Below are 19622 nucleotides of genomic sequence, written 5' to 3'. Positions count from 1 at the left end.
CTCAATGCAGAAATGCCTCTGAAGTGGGAAAATCTATAGTTTCTCCAAAGAAACTATTATAGTTGTAACAGAAAGAATGATGGAAAATAATAAGATAGAAAATCGTATGAAGGAGTACAGAAGATGGGGCACTATTGAAGGGATTATTTAACAGCAATAAGGATGAAAATGTGTCATTGAAATTCTTTAGGTTCCACATAGAAATTGCACCAGTTTATCCCGGCAGACATATTGTTTAGAAGTTTTTAAGAAAAGAAATTTTTGAATCATGGTTTTACACTGTTTTAGGTCATGGGAACTAGTAAACATGTTTCACTCTGCAGACTATTAGTCAACATTTAGATCATGCTTTTCAATAAAGAATGTCAAATTGTGAGAGGAGAATCGATAGATCTAATTGTTACAGTCACTCAACTGACATGTTGACGGGCCTGGAAAATTTCTCACATGAATAATGGGTGAAGAGTCAAAGAATGATTCTTTTGGGGAAAAGAAGACCTGCCAGGGTTTTGGAAAGGGTATGTGTATGCATTTAGTATTGTTTAGTGTGGTAGCTCTATGGTCCTGACTGTCACATATTTATTGGGCTGCCATGTGTTAGGTGGAAACACAAAGCTGTCATTTTTTTGTAGGACAGAAAAGGCTGAATACTGACAATTTCATATGGTTCCACCTAATAGAATAGGAAACACAGGTATCTCTGAATTGTTTATCTAAGGTAGAATTTGGGGAAGAACTTAGAACTTATAAAAATTAAATTTTAGACTAAAATATATAGATATATCTAGAGTTGTTCAAAAATGAAAATAGAGCTGAAATATCAAGTGCTATAATGGAGTTCACATAAGAATTCCATGCTTTATATTTGAGGTTGGATATGTGCTTTTTCTTTATCCCTTTCATTTATATGGATCTAATCTTCTATAATGTTTAAAACATTTTGATTGAGATGTTCTTTGGCATTCTTTTTTTCTCTTGATTTAAAGATCTGCTTTACAACCAAACAGTAAGATTAAATAAAACAAAACAATGCCCATGGCTTCATGATCACTCTACCCATTTAGAAAGGCCTTGTGCATGGCCTATTATGGTCATCTTGAAATTCTTTGTAATTTTTTATCAAAGGGTTCTACATTTTCACTTTTTACTGGGCCCTGAAAATTATACACCCAGTCCTCAATCCGTGGTCTTCTTAAATTTGCATGCGGATTAGAATTATAAAGGTACATTAATTCTAGGCCGTCAAAGCCTAGCTTATAACTTTCAAATTACATTTGGGAATTGTTCTTATATAACAGCATTTATTGCTCCAAAGATCATTATGTAATAACTACTAAATAATCTATATGATTGTACATTTGGGAAACCATGAAAACTTTCTAAAAGAGCTCTGCTGTTTTATGTAACAATCATGAAATATTTCCAAATGCATAAATATAAATAATTACAATAGAAAATCTGAGAGACAAAAAAAGCTATGATAGTATACCAATGCAATTTCTTGAAAACAGATACACAAGAAACAAAGAATAAAGGAACAGCAGGAAAATGTGCCACTATTGTGGTTACAGCTTCGAGGCAACACATTAAAATGCCAACCAGACACAGGTGGCAACAGATGTATCTACCACCAAAAAAAAAAGTTAAATCAAGTGAAAAATTTCAAATGAAGTAACTGTTCAATGAAAAGGAAAAAGAATAAAAACCACATCTGCTTACATGGCAATGAAACATGAAAGATTCTGCTAAACATTTATGTTGAAAATTAAGATGGAGGTAATTATGCACACTCATCCAAAAATAGAAAACAAGGAATTAGTGGACCAATGCCAATGTTAATTTTGAAAACCTCAAGAAGAAGAAAATTAAGATATGGTTGATAGGTTCTCTACAATATAGCAAGAAAACTCTGCCCAAATTCTAAAGGATACAAAGTCTACTCAATTTAAAAACAAATGGCACGTTTCTGTTTCTTAAAAGACATACGCATAATCTGTGAGTGCATTTTCTACTTTAGAGACCATTTGAATTAAAATCCTTAAGTTCTTATGAATGTTTTCAAAATATGTACAGTAAATGAATAAAGCCCACAGTTATTTAAGGATAACATTTAAAATTATTTACTAAATCTTTAATATTAAAATAATAGTACATGCCATCCAGTCATAATCAAAAAAGCCAAGGTGATTATGGAGTATTGAGGCTGAAAAGAGCAAGATCTAAACCAACCTATTCTGGACTTCACTGTCAAGGAAAAAAATTGAGAGGAAAATTTTCAAAAAATACTTATACTTGTGAGATTGGTGATGAGAAACAATCTGTGAAATATTGCCATTTCTCTGGAGTAAAAATTTTAAATGATTGGTTATCACGATGTCCCTTTCTCTTCACACTCAACATCTTTCTGATTTGCTCCTCAGATCTCAGGCATGCTGAGGCTATAATGTCTTTCCGTCTACCTTAGGTTTACTATTTTAAAATTGATTTTTGATGTTGTTGTGAACATGAATTTTGTATTAATACAGGAGGATGGGGTGTGTATTTCTGAAAGTCCAGAGTTGTAGGGGCAAAGAAGAGATTTCTGGAGTTCCCCTGCGTGCCTGCTTACAGAGGTTTCCTTCCTGATATTGTCAACTTCTACAATTCTTGCTCTGGCTCCATTTTAAAGCCCTGAGCAGTTAAGTGTCTTTTCCCGACCCTCATTTATACTACCATGAGGCTCCTTTGTAACAAGAAATGTACAATGTGACCAATTGTTGGCTGCCCAAACAAACATACGTTAGGACTTTTCACTCTGGCCTCCTATACTGAAACATCATTCACATTTAGTAAAGGAAGGGGCACTCTGTTAAACTCACCACATTCTTTACTTTATGGAGTCAGATAGAGATATTCCACTAAGTCCTTTTGCTTGATCCCATAGAGACCATCCTAGGAAAACTGAATTAATATGAAAGCAGGTAGAGTGAATATTCATTAAAGTCATTTACAACAACATCCAATAGTGTCTCCAAGTGGAACAGATATTTAGAGACCATTTGGCAGGAGATAGGATGGGGAAAGAGAGTGGCTGATGCATGCTGAGAAGTAGGAGGAACAATCCAGTTTTTAAAATATTGTTCTTGTTAAGAGTCTGTTTATCAGGTTAAACACAGTCAAGTGGTCAGTTGGGTCTAATAATTCAGTAACTGAGAACAGATGGAGAATACATGGATATGTGTCTGTGTGTACACTCACATGCAAAACCAGTTGCCCTGACTTTATCTTACTTACATCAATCTATTTACTGATTTTGATAGGAAGAGTATGTATTTTAGATACCTCAAGAGTATCTCCTGAAATACTTCCATATTCTTGCCTTTTGAAGAATCTTTTTAAAGGAAGAAAAATAATTATTAGCAAAGAATTCACATTCCCAATGGCTCCATTTTCATCTCCTTAATCAGGTGTTAAAATTCATGGCTTGGGAAAAGTGGGATGTTTACAAGGCCTATCTATACCATTTATCTATACCATTAGTTTTAATAGCCTGTTCACTTGAACAATTTCTAAGTATGTGGTAAAAGAAACTAAACTAAAATAATAATGCATTATATTTGAAAACATCAGTATCCTGTACACAAAACTTCCATAAGTAGTTCTTCCTAGATTGAAACTAGAACTAATCCATTTCCAAAATCATCTATATTTTTCTGAAGACAAAAAAAATGTTGCTACAGATAATTGCCATAGGCTGCAAATATTCTGATTCATCCAGTATTTCTCTCTTGTTGCATGTTGTATAGATAAATATAATGCATCAATATTAGGATAGCATATATTTTGTTAAATGTTAATGCAGAATTCTAAATTTTCTAGCATTCACAGAAAAGCAAGCTACTGATAGTAAGTAGTATTTAAAGAGAAATCTTATCTACTACAATGAATTGAGAAATCCAGGATATTAAGACCACAAAAATGATTGTTTAGATGATTTAATTATAGCACAACAGGCTTTTCTGCTGATAATGTTATAATTATGTTTTAATAACCCAATCTCAACAAACATAGCTAGAGTACAAATGATGAGCACAAAAATCCATCTCATCTGTAGCTCAGACTAGTATTTCAAATGTAATTTCTCTATTAGTAATTTAGTCTGATTTTTATAATTCATTAGAATAAATCAATAACTGACTTAGAAATCACTTCTGTGATTTTTTTTCCACAGAAACATTAACAATACCACAAGCATTAAAATGTTGAGAAATATTTGTATATGATGATGTCAGTGGATGTTCCTTTCCTCAGCTAATAAATTCTAGTATAAAGTTTTCAGATCTGTACACAAAAATGGATCATAAAAATATAATCATGGTAGAAGAAACTAGCAATTTTATGAATGTGGAGAAAGAGTTCAAATAGTACTTTTGTGCTGTACTGTGTCCATGCAAAGCTTCATTCAATCAAACAAAAACAATACTGAATTTATTATGTTAAAATATTTAAGGACACTCTGGTAGATGAGATCATTTTCCTGCATTTGTTCACACTCTCTCCTATCTCCATCTCTAAGGGACAGATATAATTCCCCACTCCTTGACTTTGATCCTTGCTGTGTGATTTTGCTTAAGCCAAAGGGGTATCTTAGAGGATTTCAGGCAACAGAAGCCTGGCATGTTTTTGCACAGGCAGGTTGCACTCCTGACTTTTGCCATAACAATAACATGCTTCAAGTACCCGGGAGGGCTGAGGAGAATCACAAATACGTAGAACAGATCTGGACACCAGCTGCAGCTTCAAGCCAATGCTAGCCAAGCCCAGCCTAGATCAGCTGAACTGCGTCTGACCAGAGGTGCATGAACAAGGAAGGCAACGCGGTGGACCTGGGCCAGATGAGCAGCTTCTACATTGGCCTGTGTTCCCGCCTCCACTGCAACATTTTCTCCTACCACTACTCTGGCTACGGTGCCAGCTCGGGCAGGCCCTCCGAGACGAACCTCTACGCCGACATCAACGCCGCCTGGCAGGCCCTGCGCACCAGGTGAGGGCGACCCCGGGCGCAGCTCAGCCTGGGCACACCCGAGAGGGGACCAGGCCGGGGGCCAGGGGCCGGGGGGAGGGGCGGGCTTCCCTGGGAGGAAGGTGGGCGGCCCTGCAGGAGAGGAGCCACAGTGGACGCATGCTGCCAGAGAGCCGGACAGGTGAGCTCAGGCATGCGGGTGCTGCCTCCACATGGCTGAGGTGTGGCCAGGAGGTCCCCCCACACCCTGGCCTGTGGAGCCAGGCTCCCTGGGATCCCCTGGCCTGAGGACAGGAAGGGGCTGAGCTTGTCACAGGGGCGTGGACACCACCTGGCGGGAGGGGGTGGGTGGTGTCAGGGGGTCTGTGCATGTGTGGCTGGGAGCCCACGGGCTGAGGCCGCACTTGGGGCCAGGTGAGGCGAGGCTGCTGCATCGAGGTCCCAAGGCCTGGCCCATGAGGCCCCGTGGCTGTGGAGCTCAGCCATCCCGGGGCAGGGCCTGCAGGGTCAGGTGCAGACCCCCAGCACACACCTGAGGTCTCGGCCAGCTTCGATTCCAGATCCAGCCCTCCTAATCATCCAGGTCCCCAGCCCTGCGCTTGCCTGGGCCCTTCACTGGTGTTTGAGCACCACCCGGGCCAGTGCTGCTCTGGACTAGAAGACCCGCGTGGGCCTCTGGGGGCCTTTCCTGCTCGCCACCCGCTGGGGCTGTCTCGTCCTGGCCCTGCCCTGCCCAGCCCAGTGGTCTGACCCGCTCCTGCAGGGGCCAGGCGCAGCTCTGAGAAGTCAGAGGCCCTGGGAGGTGGGGTCCTCGTTGCCTTGGAGATATCCCAGGCAGTCCCTGCTGTGGGCGTGGGAGCTGGGTCCCCTGGCACCACCCTGGCTCTGGGGGCCTCCCGGCAGTGTGGGGCGCCGAAACCAAGCACCACTTCATGCAGCTTCCTGGGCCCCTCCTGTCTCTACTGCCCGGGGCACTGGCAGAGTCACACACCCCATGGCCAGCTCTGAGCTCTGTCTACTCCGCCGTCTGTCCTGCTGTCGCTTTGTCCTGCAGGATCCTCAGCCCAGAGCCGTGAGGGGGAGGCCAGATAGCGCTCAGGGCCTCTATGGAGGATGTGTCTTGTTTGATTGTGTGAGTGGTGACATCTAGGTGGCAGCTGGGGGCTCCTGCCTGGAGCAGGTGACAGGGCTGGGCTGGCTCAGCACACTACTGGCCTTGGCTGCCAGGGAGCAGGCCAGGGAGGCTGAGGCAGAGCTGCAGCCACAGGCACAAGCCAGGCAGCATCCTTTGGGGCATGGGTGAGCAGTGAGCTGTGGAGTGCTGCCAGGAGGCTGGGATTCCAGGCCAGGGAGGGAGACAGCCCTGCTGGTGGAGTCCGAATGCCAGCCAGACGGGACGCACACCTGCCCATGCTCCTGCCTCGCAGGAGGGCATCTGCCTGGCATCAGAGCCTGGAGCTTGTGGGAGGAGAGTTCTGGGGTCTCGGCATCGACAGGGTGGCAGGTGGGTCCCGCGTGGTTGGGACTGGGCATGAGGAGGCCTTGGGACTGGTGCTGGGTCAGCTGGGCCAGGGGCCGCACACCAGTGACCTGGGAGTGGGGGTGGCCCTGGGTGGGAGCTGGTGGTGCTGAGGTGGCGGAGGACTTGTCCACTCCCAAGGGAAGGCACTGGTGGGAGGAGATGCTGCCCCCGCAGCCACCACCCTCGATGTTGACCTGGGTTGGGCTGGCAGCTCATTGGGCATGGGACTCTGAGAGTCCAAAATTGGGTGGAGACATCTGGGGACACAGCTGCCTGAATTCCTCATGGCCAAGGGGGTAGGCAAGGGCTGCAGGGAGGAAGAGTGTCCCGGCCAGTGCACCAGGAAGAGCTTTCTAACCTGGGCAGGAAGGCGTGAAGCATTCAGGATGTGGGAGGCCACACAGTTCCCAGTGTGCGCCTAGGGGTGACCAAGAGGAGGAGAGGTGCCAGGGCTTCCCCTACCCTAGCCCGAGGGGGACTCCCTAGCCAGGATCCAGCAGATCCTGGCTAGGAAACGCCAGTGAACCATAGTGGCAGGGAACAGGACCAGGCCGCCGGCTTCGCCCACCGCTGCGGTGTTGGGGGGCTTGGGGGTGGCCCTTGAGACTGGTGTGGAGCCTGGGCCTGACCAACTGACTTGGCTGAGCGGGGAGACTGGAGAGTCGCATCCGGAGCTGGGCCCGGGGACGCCCGCTGGCAGGAGGGGTGCGCGCGCGTTGGAGGCCTAGGCTGACCCTGCTCAGGTGCCGCCAGGTACCGCATCAGCCCGGACGGCATCATCCTGTACCGGCAGAGCATCGGCACGGTGCCCACCGTGGACCTGGCCTCGCGCTACGAGTCCGCCACGGTGGTGCTGCACTCGCCGCTCACCTTGGACCTGAGCGTCGCCTTCCGGACACCAAGACCTACTGCTTCGACGCCTTCCCCAAGTGAGCAGGCTGGGGCGGGGACGGGGGCGGGGGCGGAGCGGGGCGGGGCCCGGGCCGGGCGAGGTCTCACCCGCCCCACGCCCCTCCCGCAGAATCCAGAAGGTGTCCAAGATCACGCCGCCCGTGCTCATCATCCAGGACACGAAAGACGAGGTGATGGACTTCTCGCACGGGCTGGCGCTCTACCAGCGCTGCCCCAACGCCGTGGAGCCGCTGTGGGTGGAGGGCGCCGGGCACAAAGACATCCAGCTCTACAGCCAGTACCTGGAGCGCCTGCCCGCTTCATCTCCCAGGAGCTGCGCAGCCAGAGCGCCTAGCGGCCGCCAGGGCCCCAACCGGCCGGACCTCAGCAATAAGGCGGCCCCCGGACCTCACCCCGCGCCGGCCTCCCCAGGGACTGCATGTGGACCCCCGGGCGGCCCGGGGGACCCCGCCCCAACCCAGGGGCCGTGGACGATGTAAAGGCAACAGAGCTACGCACTCCTTTCCTTTTGGAAGCAAGAAGAAAAATCGTGAAAACGGAAATTAAAGATTTAAATTTTTTTTAAAAAAAACACAATGTTTATTAATATACTCCAAAGTTTTTCTTTTTTTTTTTTTTGAGACGGAGTCTCACTCTGTCTCCCAGGCCGGAGTGCAGTGGCGCGATCTCAGCTTACTGCAACCTCCGCCTGCCAGGTTCAAGCGATTCTCCTGCCTCAGCCTCCCGAGTAGCTGGGACTACAGGCGCGTGCCAGCATGCCCAGCTAATTTTTTGTATTTTTAGTAGTTACGGGGTCTCACCGTGTTAGCCAGGATGGTCTCAATCTCCCAACCTCGTGATCCGCCCGCCTCGGCCTCCCAAAGTGCTGGGATTACAGGCGTGAGCCACCATGCCCGGGCGTTTTGCATAGATTTTTTAATGCAGAATCATGGTGGCAATGGCTAATGGCTACCAAGGTGCCATCGTTCAACAATCCTGTTATTCAGTCATCACATCTACTATGTGTAAGCCATAATATCTTCTAAAATGAATTATAACTATTTTCTAATTGAAATAAATGGTATCACAATATTTCACTAAGTAATCTCTGCTAGTTTAGTCTCTATTTCATCTCCACGGAATGCCTTCTGAGTTCCTATAATTGTGACTAATTCTCTGAGACGACATCAGAAATATCAGTATAAACTATGAAACCTACAAAGGGGATTCCTCTTTTTCCTTTTTATTATAGAGATGCTTTTCTGTTTGTTTTCTGCACGCAAGCATGGTCTTAATCAATTTTGTATGCCCGTACCTAGGAGAGCCCCTGATTCATAATAAGACCTCAATAAGATTTGTTGAATAAAGTGAAAATATTATTTTTAGCTTTCCCTCACCATTTTCTTCAAAACAGACTAGTTCATAACTGAAATAGGCATTGTTTCTAGAAAACAGTCACTCCAACTGATCCCCTCATTTAATCATTTTTGTACTCCCTGAATCTATCATAATACCTGGCACATAGTGGGTAAGTAATCAATATTTGTTCACTGAACTAATGGAAGCATGAGTGAATGAAACAATACAGGCATTTTAAAAGTATAATTCAAGAGTGAAAGCATATTACTTGTCATTAGAGTGATTTTAAACAGCTAAGTATATGATAATTAGGAAGATTTACTTTCCTGCTTCATTTAAATTTTAAATATAGTGATCGAGGTAATTATGATTTTCATTCATTTATTCAATAAATGAATGTTTAATATTTTTTATCTCACATGATAGATTGATACTGGTCAAAGACATTACAATGATATTATACATAAAGATTTGTTTTAAATTTACAATATCTTGAAATTTTTCTCTTGTTAATCTACAAAGTATATTTATAGGTTAGGAAATATACTTTTTAAAATGTCAGATAATGATATTTTTATTTTCTATTTTATATTATTATTATTTTTGATACAAGGTCTCACTGTGTCACCCACACTGGAATGCAGTGGCATAATCATGGCTCACCACAACCTTAACCTCCCAGGCCCAGGTGATCCTCCTACCTCAGCCTCCTGAGTTGCTAGGACTACAGGTGCCCGCCACCTTGCCCGGCTAACTTTTTACTTTTTTTTTTTTTTTTTTTTGGTAGAGATGAGTTTTCACCATGTTGCCCAGGCTGGTCTTGAACTCCTGCGCTCAAGCAAAACGGCAGCCTTGGCCACCCAAAGTGTTAGGATTACAGGCATGAGCCACCACTGTGGGGCAGATAATGATAGTTTTTCAAGAATCGGTAAAACATTGTCCTTCAATGAATTAGTGCAGAAGCATGAAAAACATCTATTATGAGCAAATCTGTGAAACAGATGTTGAAATTAGTATTCTAATAAGGCTTTTGTGCTTTTTGATGATACAAAATAATTTTGCTATGACAATACAGTTACTTAAATGAGAAGTATGAATAACTTGCTTTGATATGTTTGTGGTATGTTTCACTTATTTTTTGAGAAGGGTAATTATTAAATTTAAACTATATATGTAAAGAGTGCACATCAAATATTTTAAAACCCTGAAGAGTTAGGTCTTCATTTCAAGAATTGTTAAGTGTCTTAAGAACATGTTTATTTTCTAGAAATGTTGAGCCTCTTCTTGGGTAATGTGATTCTTTTAAAAATTTTGGAAGGATTTCTTATTACATTAAAAATGAATGTATACAATAGGAAGTTACTAGGATAAAGTGAATTTAGCAGCTATCTTGCTTTGTTATATGTCTTATAAATTAAAATTACATTTTCATAATTAAAAGCCAAGCTCATTTGCTTTGATAAGACTAAGAGGAAAGGAGTATTAAATGAAGTTAAATTAGATTTTACCGTCTTTTTAATAAGTTTCAGGCCTGGTTTGATAATATATTCCCAGATGCATAATTTAAAAATGATCTTTTGGCCGGGTGCCGTGGCTCAAGCCTGTAATCCCAGCACTTTGGGAGGCCGAGGCGGGTGGATCACGAGGTCAGGAGATCGAAACCATCCTGGTTAACATGGCGAAACCCCATCTCTACTAAAAATACAAAACATTAGCTGGGCGTGGTGGCCGGCGCCCGTAGTCCCAGCTACTCGGGAGGCTGCGGCAGGAGAATGGCGTGAACCCGGGAGGCGGAGCTTGCAGTGAGCCGAGATCACGCCACTGCACTCCAGCCTGGGCGACAGAACGAGATTCTGTCTCAAAAATAAATAAATAAATAAATACATAAACACATAAATATGAATTTAGTGAGAGCTGGTTATAGTTTGGAACCTCATTTGTGAAATAAACCATATTTCAAAATATTTTAAGCAGAAATACATTTAAGTTTTAGCCTATAAATCACCAGAATTTATCCTAGTCACCTAAATAAAAAATATAAAAGTTCTACATTTTAACGTCCTTTCAACATTTTATGACCAGAAAACCCAGCAGATAAACAGCTCAGGTCTTAATGGGAAATGATAACATATAAGATCAGAGGCATCCGCATAAATAAATTTGTATCCAACACAAAACAATTACATACGCTTTAATCAAAAAGAAATTACCAATGGCCAACCCCAATCCCACTACTTTCAAAAAAAAGTCCTCAAGCTTTCCTTTCCAGTTGAATGTACACTGATGGAAATGGTTGTTTTATGCAGACAATTGATGTTTTTAAATGAAATGTCTAATAGGGAAGTCAGTGCATTACACTACCCATTCGAGAAAGCAGCCTTCCATTGAATTTACTCAGACAAACTAATTGCTGAATTAGATGACCATGGAAAGTTATTGAGGGCATATCCAGCGCTTCCTTCTGAACCAAAACTAAATCAGTTTTGGTCAGTACTGCATTTCTATTCAAAATCAAGAACTGTTCGTCTCTCTGGAATATTAGTATCATAAGCCTGGGGAGGTGACAATGTCATGTAATGGAGTTGTGGGGAAAGGAGTCAGAGTGTTGTGGCAATTCCCCGACCAAGGGAAAGAGTCTGTAGAAGTTCATAGAATCAGCTGACGTGCTATGGTCAAAGAATTCGGAATTAGCAATTGACCAATCAATTATGATTAACTCATTCTGTATGACTATCATAGGCTATTAAAAATAGGAAAGGGTGTTTCTAAAGTGTGTTTCATAACAAGTGATTTAATGATAAAAGCTTGGACAGTTTTCAGAATACAAAAATTCCGAGATACTAATATCTTTAAAAACTCCTGTCATTGTGTGTGTGTGTGTGTGTGTGTGTGTGTGTGTGTGTGTGTGTAAACACTACCTGTGTAATCATCTATTGAGATTTAAATTAGAACTTTTCTCAGTGTATCACAGTTCTAAAGGTACTATTTATTATATTGGTATCCTAGGAACAGAGTGAAAAAAGGCAAAGAGGTAATTTAGCACAGTCTTTTTCTACTAAAATCAGAGTGTCTCTCATCTCTGCCTGAATCCACTACATTGTGATTACTGAAATACATATTATAGAATATCTACTTATTTTGTGGATTTAGGCAATGATTATGATTATTGCTTTTCTCACATCTAATTTATATTATACATGAAGACATTTTGTAAAGAAGTTTTGGTCTCTATAAAAATGAATGCTTAATAGAAACGTAATATTACTTTATGTTATTTGAATTGTTAGGTTTAAGAAAATAAAATGTTTTTTAAATCTATTACTTTTAACGACACTGTAACATTTATTGGTTTTGCAATAAAATAAATCCAGAAAATTGCTGTGATATTACTTTTTATGTTTCTTATTGAAAGTAGGTCAATTAATTTCTAAGCAATGGGGCAATATAATTGTCAACTAACAGTGCTCAAGCAGTTAGGATTTTAACTGCTGACATTATTTTCTTTGAAAAATGATAGATGTCATTTAGTGTTTAAAGATAAATTGCTGCATAACTGTGACTTTTTTGCTGATAACTTTGCCGTAAGCAAACATAATATGACCAAGAAATTTCAAAGTAAGTTTGCTAGGTGAGCAAATCTAAATTAAAAAGGGTCTCATATTTCCTCAATCAGATATACTAAGATCAACCAAATGTTGTTTTCAACCTATAATATTAAAGGGCAATTGAGTCTGACTCAAACATCTGGAAACGTTAATGTTAACACTTAGGAATATGTCTCCCCATAGGAAAATCTTCACTGGCCATGGGCTATACCACATTTATCACAGGTGATTTTCAAAGGGACAAATATTGCCTATTTCACAAACAGGTCTGGAATGCAGGAAACTGCCAGAAATTAAGTGAGAGTTTGCACAATGGCTGACCCAGAGGAAGATGTCAGAGTCACAGATGGAAAAGGGAGGTTCATGACTCCCCTCTGTTGCCAAGGTTCCCATTCTCAATTCAGAAGGATTTGCAGAGGGGGTGAAGGAATATTGAAGTTTCTGAGATATTCCTTATGGACCAAGCTATAATCCAGTTATCTATTTACATCAGATCTCAGCTTTTTTTTTTTTTGAGGAGGGTGTGGGAGGGGATGTGTGCAGAACATACATATAGGGCTTGTCCTAAAGGATGAAATAAAATTGTGTATGCTATGACCTCTCTAGGAAGCCTCTAAACTTTTCTTATAAATTGTCTTCTAACTAAAATATTTCTTTTGGTCATCCTTGGAGTACTCCCAGGTGACACACAGCTCAGGCTAACATTTCTACAGGACTGCTGCCTTGATCTCTAGAGAGTCCAATGGTGTTCCATACCAATATGTCTGAGAGTCACTGCCAAGCTTCCACCCACAACCTTAACACACAGAGAAAGCTGACACTTTCTGTTATCTATAATTTTCCTTGAGAAAAACGTGGCAATATGTATCAAAATACAATTATTAGTTTCAATATGTAGAATGCATTACAAGAAAAAAAAAGATGCCAAAAACATTTTATGTCTGCTGATATTCCTATTAGTCTTTATTATCATGAAAATCTGGTCACAAGCTAAATATCCAACTTTAGGTGACTGGATGAAGTAAAACTGTAATCTTTCCATATGATAGAAAAATATGCCAGCACTGACAACCAGATAGCAGGATATTTAATGCCATGGTAAAATATTTGTTTTGTGTGGTCAGGTGAGCAGTTCAGATCATAAAATCAAACGTGCCCTACGGTCTTATTTTTTTAAGTAAAGTATTGATGTATTTATATGTATAATTAAGTATAGAAAAAAAGCCTAGATGGCTTCTCTTATAAGTCTTTTCATTGTTTTATAAATGTATCAATATTTATTTTTCACTTTTTCCATCAGATTTCCTAGAATAATAAAATTCAATTCCCTCTGATGAGCATTCATTATTCTTTTATTTTTTGAGACGGAGTCTCACTCTATCTCCTGCAGCTAGAGTGCAGTGGCCTGATCTCAGCTCACTGCAGCCTCCGCCTCCTGGGTCATTATTCTTACAGTAAGAAAAAATGAATGTTACTAAGTATCTTCTCTGTCCTAGATCAACTAAGTATATACAAGGTGCCAAATACAATTAATAAAATGTTTTATCCATTCATAGGTTTTTGCAGTACAATTTTTTTTTTTATGATTCCATTGTCTTATAGTCTCCACTAATAGTTTTGGTGTGAATTTATACTCTAAAGGAAAGGTGACAGCCTTATACAATCTCAGAGCTTAAGTACTATCCACATGCTAGTGCTTACAAACATACACTTTCAGTTGTGTGGTCTCCCTGAGTTCTGCACATCCCTCTTGGGTATCTAATAAGCATCTCACAGTTAACAACACCACTGATTTCTAATCAATCCCAGGGACCCTCCACCAGGCCTGCTCCTCTCTCAGAGTTCCTTTTCTCACTTAGTGACACTATCATCCCACCAAACCTTGCTATCATCTTTCTTCTGTCTCCCAAATTTCCAATCCATTAACAAATCCCAATAACCCTGCTTCCAATATTTGTCTAAATCTATGCACTTCTCAGCTTATCCACTTTTATTATTCTAGTTCCAATTATGTGGTCTTCTGTCTGTATTACTTTCTTTTTTCATTCTTTCATGCAGGGACCATTTTTCATAGTGAAGTCCTCATAAAACATAGATTAAATTGTATCAGCTTCTGCTTACAGTTTTTATTTATTTATTAAATTTGTGATGTATTTGTATTTATTTATTTATTTTGAGACAGAGTCTTGCTCTGTCACCCAGGCTGGAGTGCAGTGGCACGATCTTGGCTCACTGCAAGCTCTGACTCCTGGGTTCAAGCGATTCTTCTTCCTCAGCCTCCCGAGTAGCTGGGATTACAGGCATGTGCCACCAAGCTCGGCTAATTTTTGTATTTTTAGTAGAGACGAGGTTTCACCATGTTGGCCAGGCTGGTCTCAAACCCCTGACTTCAGGTGATCTGCCCACCTCAGCCTCCCAAAGTGCAGAGAGTACAGGCATGAGCCACTGCGCCCAGCTAGCTCTGCTTACAGTTTTTAAATGACTTCTTAGTCTACTTAGGAGAAAATATAAACTCTTTACCAGAGCCTACTGGACTTCCCAAAACATGATGTATGTTTATCTCTTCCCTTTAGCTCACTTGGTTTTAGCCGACTGACCTTCTGTTCTCTGAGTAAAACAAACTTATTCCTGCAACGGGGCCTTTACGCCTACTTTGCCTTCTGCCCCAGAAACAGTTCTCACAGGTTTTCCCATGACTCTTTTCTTCTCCTTATTCAGCATCACCCCAAACATCTCCCCCTGAGTGGCCTTCGCCAGGACATTCTTCTTAAATATCTTTCCTTACCTCATCCTGTTTGGTTTTGTTTATAACAGGTGTCAGCTACAATACTGGTTTTGTTTGTTTATTTACTTTTTCTTACAATGGAAAGCCCATGAGAGCAGGGTTGTGTCTGCTTTATTCACAACTTTAACCTCAGTGCCAGTACAGAACCAGGACCGTACTAGAAACTCAATGAACATTTGTTGAGTATTTTGAATGAATTAATTATTAAAACATTAAAAAGTGCCATTTTCCAAGTAAAAATCTTTTTCTACTTCCTTAATGACTCTAATTGCAGACAATTCTAGGTAGAAATGAGGTTCATATTAATGGCAGGCCGAGAAAGGCATTTTTGGGTGAGTCTATGCAGGCAATTTTTGCTTTTATGGCTGATTTCCTTCCATATACTTCAATACAGGTATGTCCCTATTGAGAGAGATGGCATTTTTCATAGTATAAAGGTGGACAGTGAACTTAATATTATAATAAAAAATAAAGTAAATTTTATACAAACACTAAGAAGTGATCATCTAAATCTACAGTTTAGAATCTGAAACCTATTCCTATGTTGACATCTTCCATGGCCCTACTCCTAAATTAATAAATTCTGACTTACAGAAGGCTATTTTCTGAATCCTTTCATAGCTGACATTGTGGTGGGTGCTGTTACCCATTCCTTGATACTGACAGTACAATGGCCATCCCTGCCAGGGCACGCGTACATTATCAGTAGTCAAAAGTTTGGCAAAGTAGGCCGGGCATGGTGGCTCACGCCTGTAATCCCAGCATTTTGGGGAGGCCGAGGCAGGTGGATCACCTGAGGTCGGGAGCTCGAGACCAGCCTGAGCAATGTGGAGAAACCCCGTCTCTACTAAAAATACAAAAAAAAAAAATTAGCCAGTCCGTTGTGGCACACGCCTGTAATCCCAGCTGCTCTGTAGGCTGAGGCAGGAGAATCGCTTGAATCCAGGAGGCAGAGGTTGCAGTGAGCCGAGATCGCGCCATTGCACTCCAGCCTGGGCAACAAGAGCGAAACTCCATCTCAAAAAAAAAAAAAAAAATGGCAAAGTAAAACACTTCTCTTCATCTCCAGGAGAGCAGTTTATGAAAGAGCATACTCTTACACATTAAAGGTGAATGTTTCAGTGACACCTGTGCAAGATAGGACTTTCTGCTCTCCTCTATAAAAATCTAAATTTCTATCATATAATTCTAGCAGACCTTAAAAGGATAGACCTCAAAGGCAGCGTTGCATTTGATATTCTCTTGCAACCCCAGAATGAAACTTAAGCATGAATAATTGGAGATCTGCACACTTCCATAAAGAAGAAAGAATGGGACTCAAGTTCACACAGAAACTAAAAAAGAAAGGCAGGATGACTTCCCTCTGCCACCTTGAAAAGGCTTTGAAACCTACAAAACAAGAAATGGGGAGGGGAGTTGCTGAATGGGTAATAAATATGTGAACCCTCCTCCTAAGGGTTTTTATAATCCTTTCTATCTTGGGTATCTACGTGTTCCTCTGTGAATGTGTTTTCTTCTAACTGCACTTCTTATGGAACAGCTCCATCCTTATTATCCACAACAGGGTTTCTGTTCTGCTTTCATCTTGTATATATCTTAGAAAAACAACCTGAACAGATGTCCAGTTAATATGTATATTTATGTATTTATAAATTATATGTATGTGCTATTGCACTAGTATATTACATATTTTATATACCTTACTACAACCAAAGAAATATAAAAGAATGAGATGGAATAAATATATACTTAAGTTCTAGGTTTTCTTCCTCCACCCTCTGTGGAATGCTTACCCCACTTAAGAAACCCCTAAGATTTCACCGTGTCCTCACAGTGAGATTGTACTCACTCCTCAATGAGAGGAGCTGATTAATGTTAAAGCTCTTTTGGTTTTGTTATCAATTATGCACTTGAATTTTCAAATAATCTAGCTGTACATATTATACTACAGTGGACGATACTATGAGGTACCAACTGGACCAGCTCAGCAGAGGCTGGGAGGTTTGACTCATCAGTAGTCATGACACCACTTCTCTCTTAGACTTTTCCAGTAGAATTTATTTTTGGTTTTGACAGCAAGGGTGACAGCTCTGTTCTCTATAGGTATCTATGGTAGAATAAGCATTGTTACCTCGCAGAAGGGAGAAGTCTATGGTATTCGACACCAACCCCCAAGTCCTTCTTACACATCCTCTCTTTGAGATATAGGGACTCTTGTGAAAAATGGAAACCCAGGAACTGGCTCTGCATAAACTTAAGCTTCGTCTTGGCAGGACAATTATGAGAAGCCTACCACTGACTCTGAAATATGTTGTATGCAATAAAAACTCTGTACTATTTAGGTGTTGTTTCTGACCCACGATACTAGAAATAAGCATCAACTACCCATACAAAGTTTTGCTTAGGAAAAATGAAAGTATATTCAAATATAAATTTTTATAAAATGACCATTAACTAAAAAGAAAAGCCTTCCTTTCCCCAAACATCAATAGACGCAGAGTGGAGGATAATATTTACAACATGCAACATAATGTTTGGTTCTAATTAATAGACTATTTCAATGAAATATTATTTTGATAAATATGTTCATGCTTCATTTGCCATGTATTAAAAACAGCAATACACATTCACTTGATGAAAAATATTATTGAAGATAAGACAGAAGTATTTCATAAACAACCATTAGGTAGATTATAAGATAACATACGAAAGGTGATATTGTAAATCAATATTAGAAACACATATTCTTCATCTATGACCTAACTTGTATTGAAATGCTGCAAAAACCTTAGAGCAACATTCAGAGAATTACCTGAAAGATAACTCTGGCATCTTCCATGGCCTTATATGTGTTTTCTTTAATGGTCACAGTGATTCCCATGTTCAAAGTTATTCACTGAGGACAACGCATGTCCTGAGATTCTCATCATTGAAAGGCCGAGGCTGAGGCTTGCTTTTCACATATACAGATTGTCCAACATTAAATTACAGCTGCATATTGACTGCATACAAAAATCATTAAACTAAATCTTTCCAAAAGTCCTGATGTAAATAATGTGCTACAATATTTTAGGTAGGATTATCTGATAGGATTAACAAATTTATCAAGTATAACAGAAAGTAACCACTTATTATTTATTATTGGCTATACCAAAAAATATAGGATCAGGACTTACCTGAATAACATGCTTCAGTTTATCAATAATCTGATTTATCACAGGATCAGTTCCTTTGACTTTGACTTCAGGAGTTCCAGACTGGGCTTTGATTCCATTTCCAACCACACGCTGAGTATAACTAGCAAAGGGAAATGTGAAAGATATATGACTTAGTACCTGATCAGAGTATTATCTGCCACAGCTATCTGAACATAGTTGAGGTCAGAATTTCCTCCTTTAGAGAATACACCAATGTATTTTTTTCTTGGAACAGAAACTGGCACAGCTATAATGTTTTTCCAGGTAAAATGCTAAAATGTTTATCGTGCCATTAGATCATTCTAAAAATACTGTTATTCTCTCAATGGACCCAACCAAAAATTACTTGTTTTTTAATACTACTTAACAATATGCTACAAAGAGTTAACATATATCTCACTTTGTTACCAGTTCTTGCTGAAGTATACGTATGTCTGTACCCCTATGGTCTGGGTCAGCTTATTTTAGGCAGTCCCAATCTTATGTTTTAAATATTAGGCTACTATATGTGTGTGTGTGTGTATTTATATAGAATACATATATAGACTATATATAGAATTATATATAGAATATATAGAGAGAATATGTAGAGAATACATAGAGAATATATAGAGAGAATACATAGAGAATATATATAGAATATATAGAGAATAAATATATAGAATATATAGAGAATATATATATATAGAATATATATAGAGAATATATAGGATACACATAGAGAGAATACATATATAGGATATATAGAGTATATATATATATTCCATATATATATACACACACATTATATATATTTCCTAATTAAGTCCTTCAAGAAATAAGTGATTAAACTTTTTAATAATGATAGTATCAATTGGACATGATAAAAAATAATATTATTAATAAACTCTTTGATTTTTAAAATAACCTTGAACCCATTTTTTGTAGGCATAGAGGGGCTTAGAGATAAGAATTTCAGTATCCATCAGGGATTTGGCAGTATACACCAATAACAAATAGTAGAAGGAAAACAGTTATATCTATTTTGTTAATGTGTAATAATATTCTTTATTTTAGAAAAATAAAATTATACATAGTATAACCATATGCAATATATAATATGTAAACATATATATAACTGTACAAGTCAATATCATAAACTATAACTGTACAAATTAAAATCATCACATTTATAAGCAACTAAAATACGCAAAGTATTTCCTAAGTAGAGGAAACAATCCGCTTTCACCTAGGTTCACCTAAACAAAGATCTGGTAAATCA

General features: G+C 40.1%; 1 pseudogene; it reads left to right on the top strand.

The window, feature by feature from the left end:
- The first annotated feature begins 4838 nt into the window (after positions 1–4838).
- Positions 4839–7770, top strand: LOC102723964 (alpha/beta hydrolase domain-containing protein 17A-like; annotated as a pseudogene).
- The last annotated feature ends 11852 nt before the right edge of the window (positions 7771–19622 follow it).

This window comes from Homo sapiens, assembly GCF_000001405.40.
Source record: "Homo sapiens chromosome 16 unlocalized genomic scaffold, GRCh38.p14 Primary Assembly HSCHR16_RANDOM_CTG1".
NCBI classification, from domain to species: domain Eukaryota; kingdom Metazoa; phylum Chordata; class Mammalia; order Primates; family Hominidae; genus Homo; species Homo sapiens.
The sequence above is the reverse complement of the archived record's forward strand: the minus strand, read 5'-3'. Positions and strand labels throughout refer to the sequence as shown.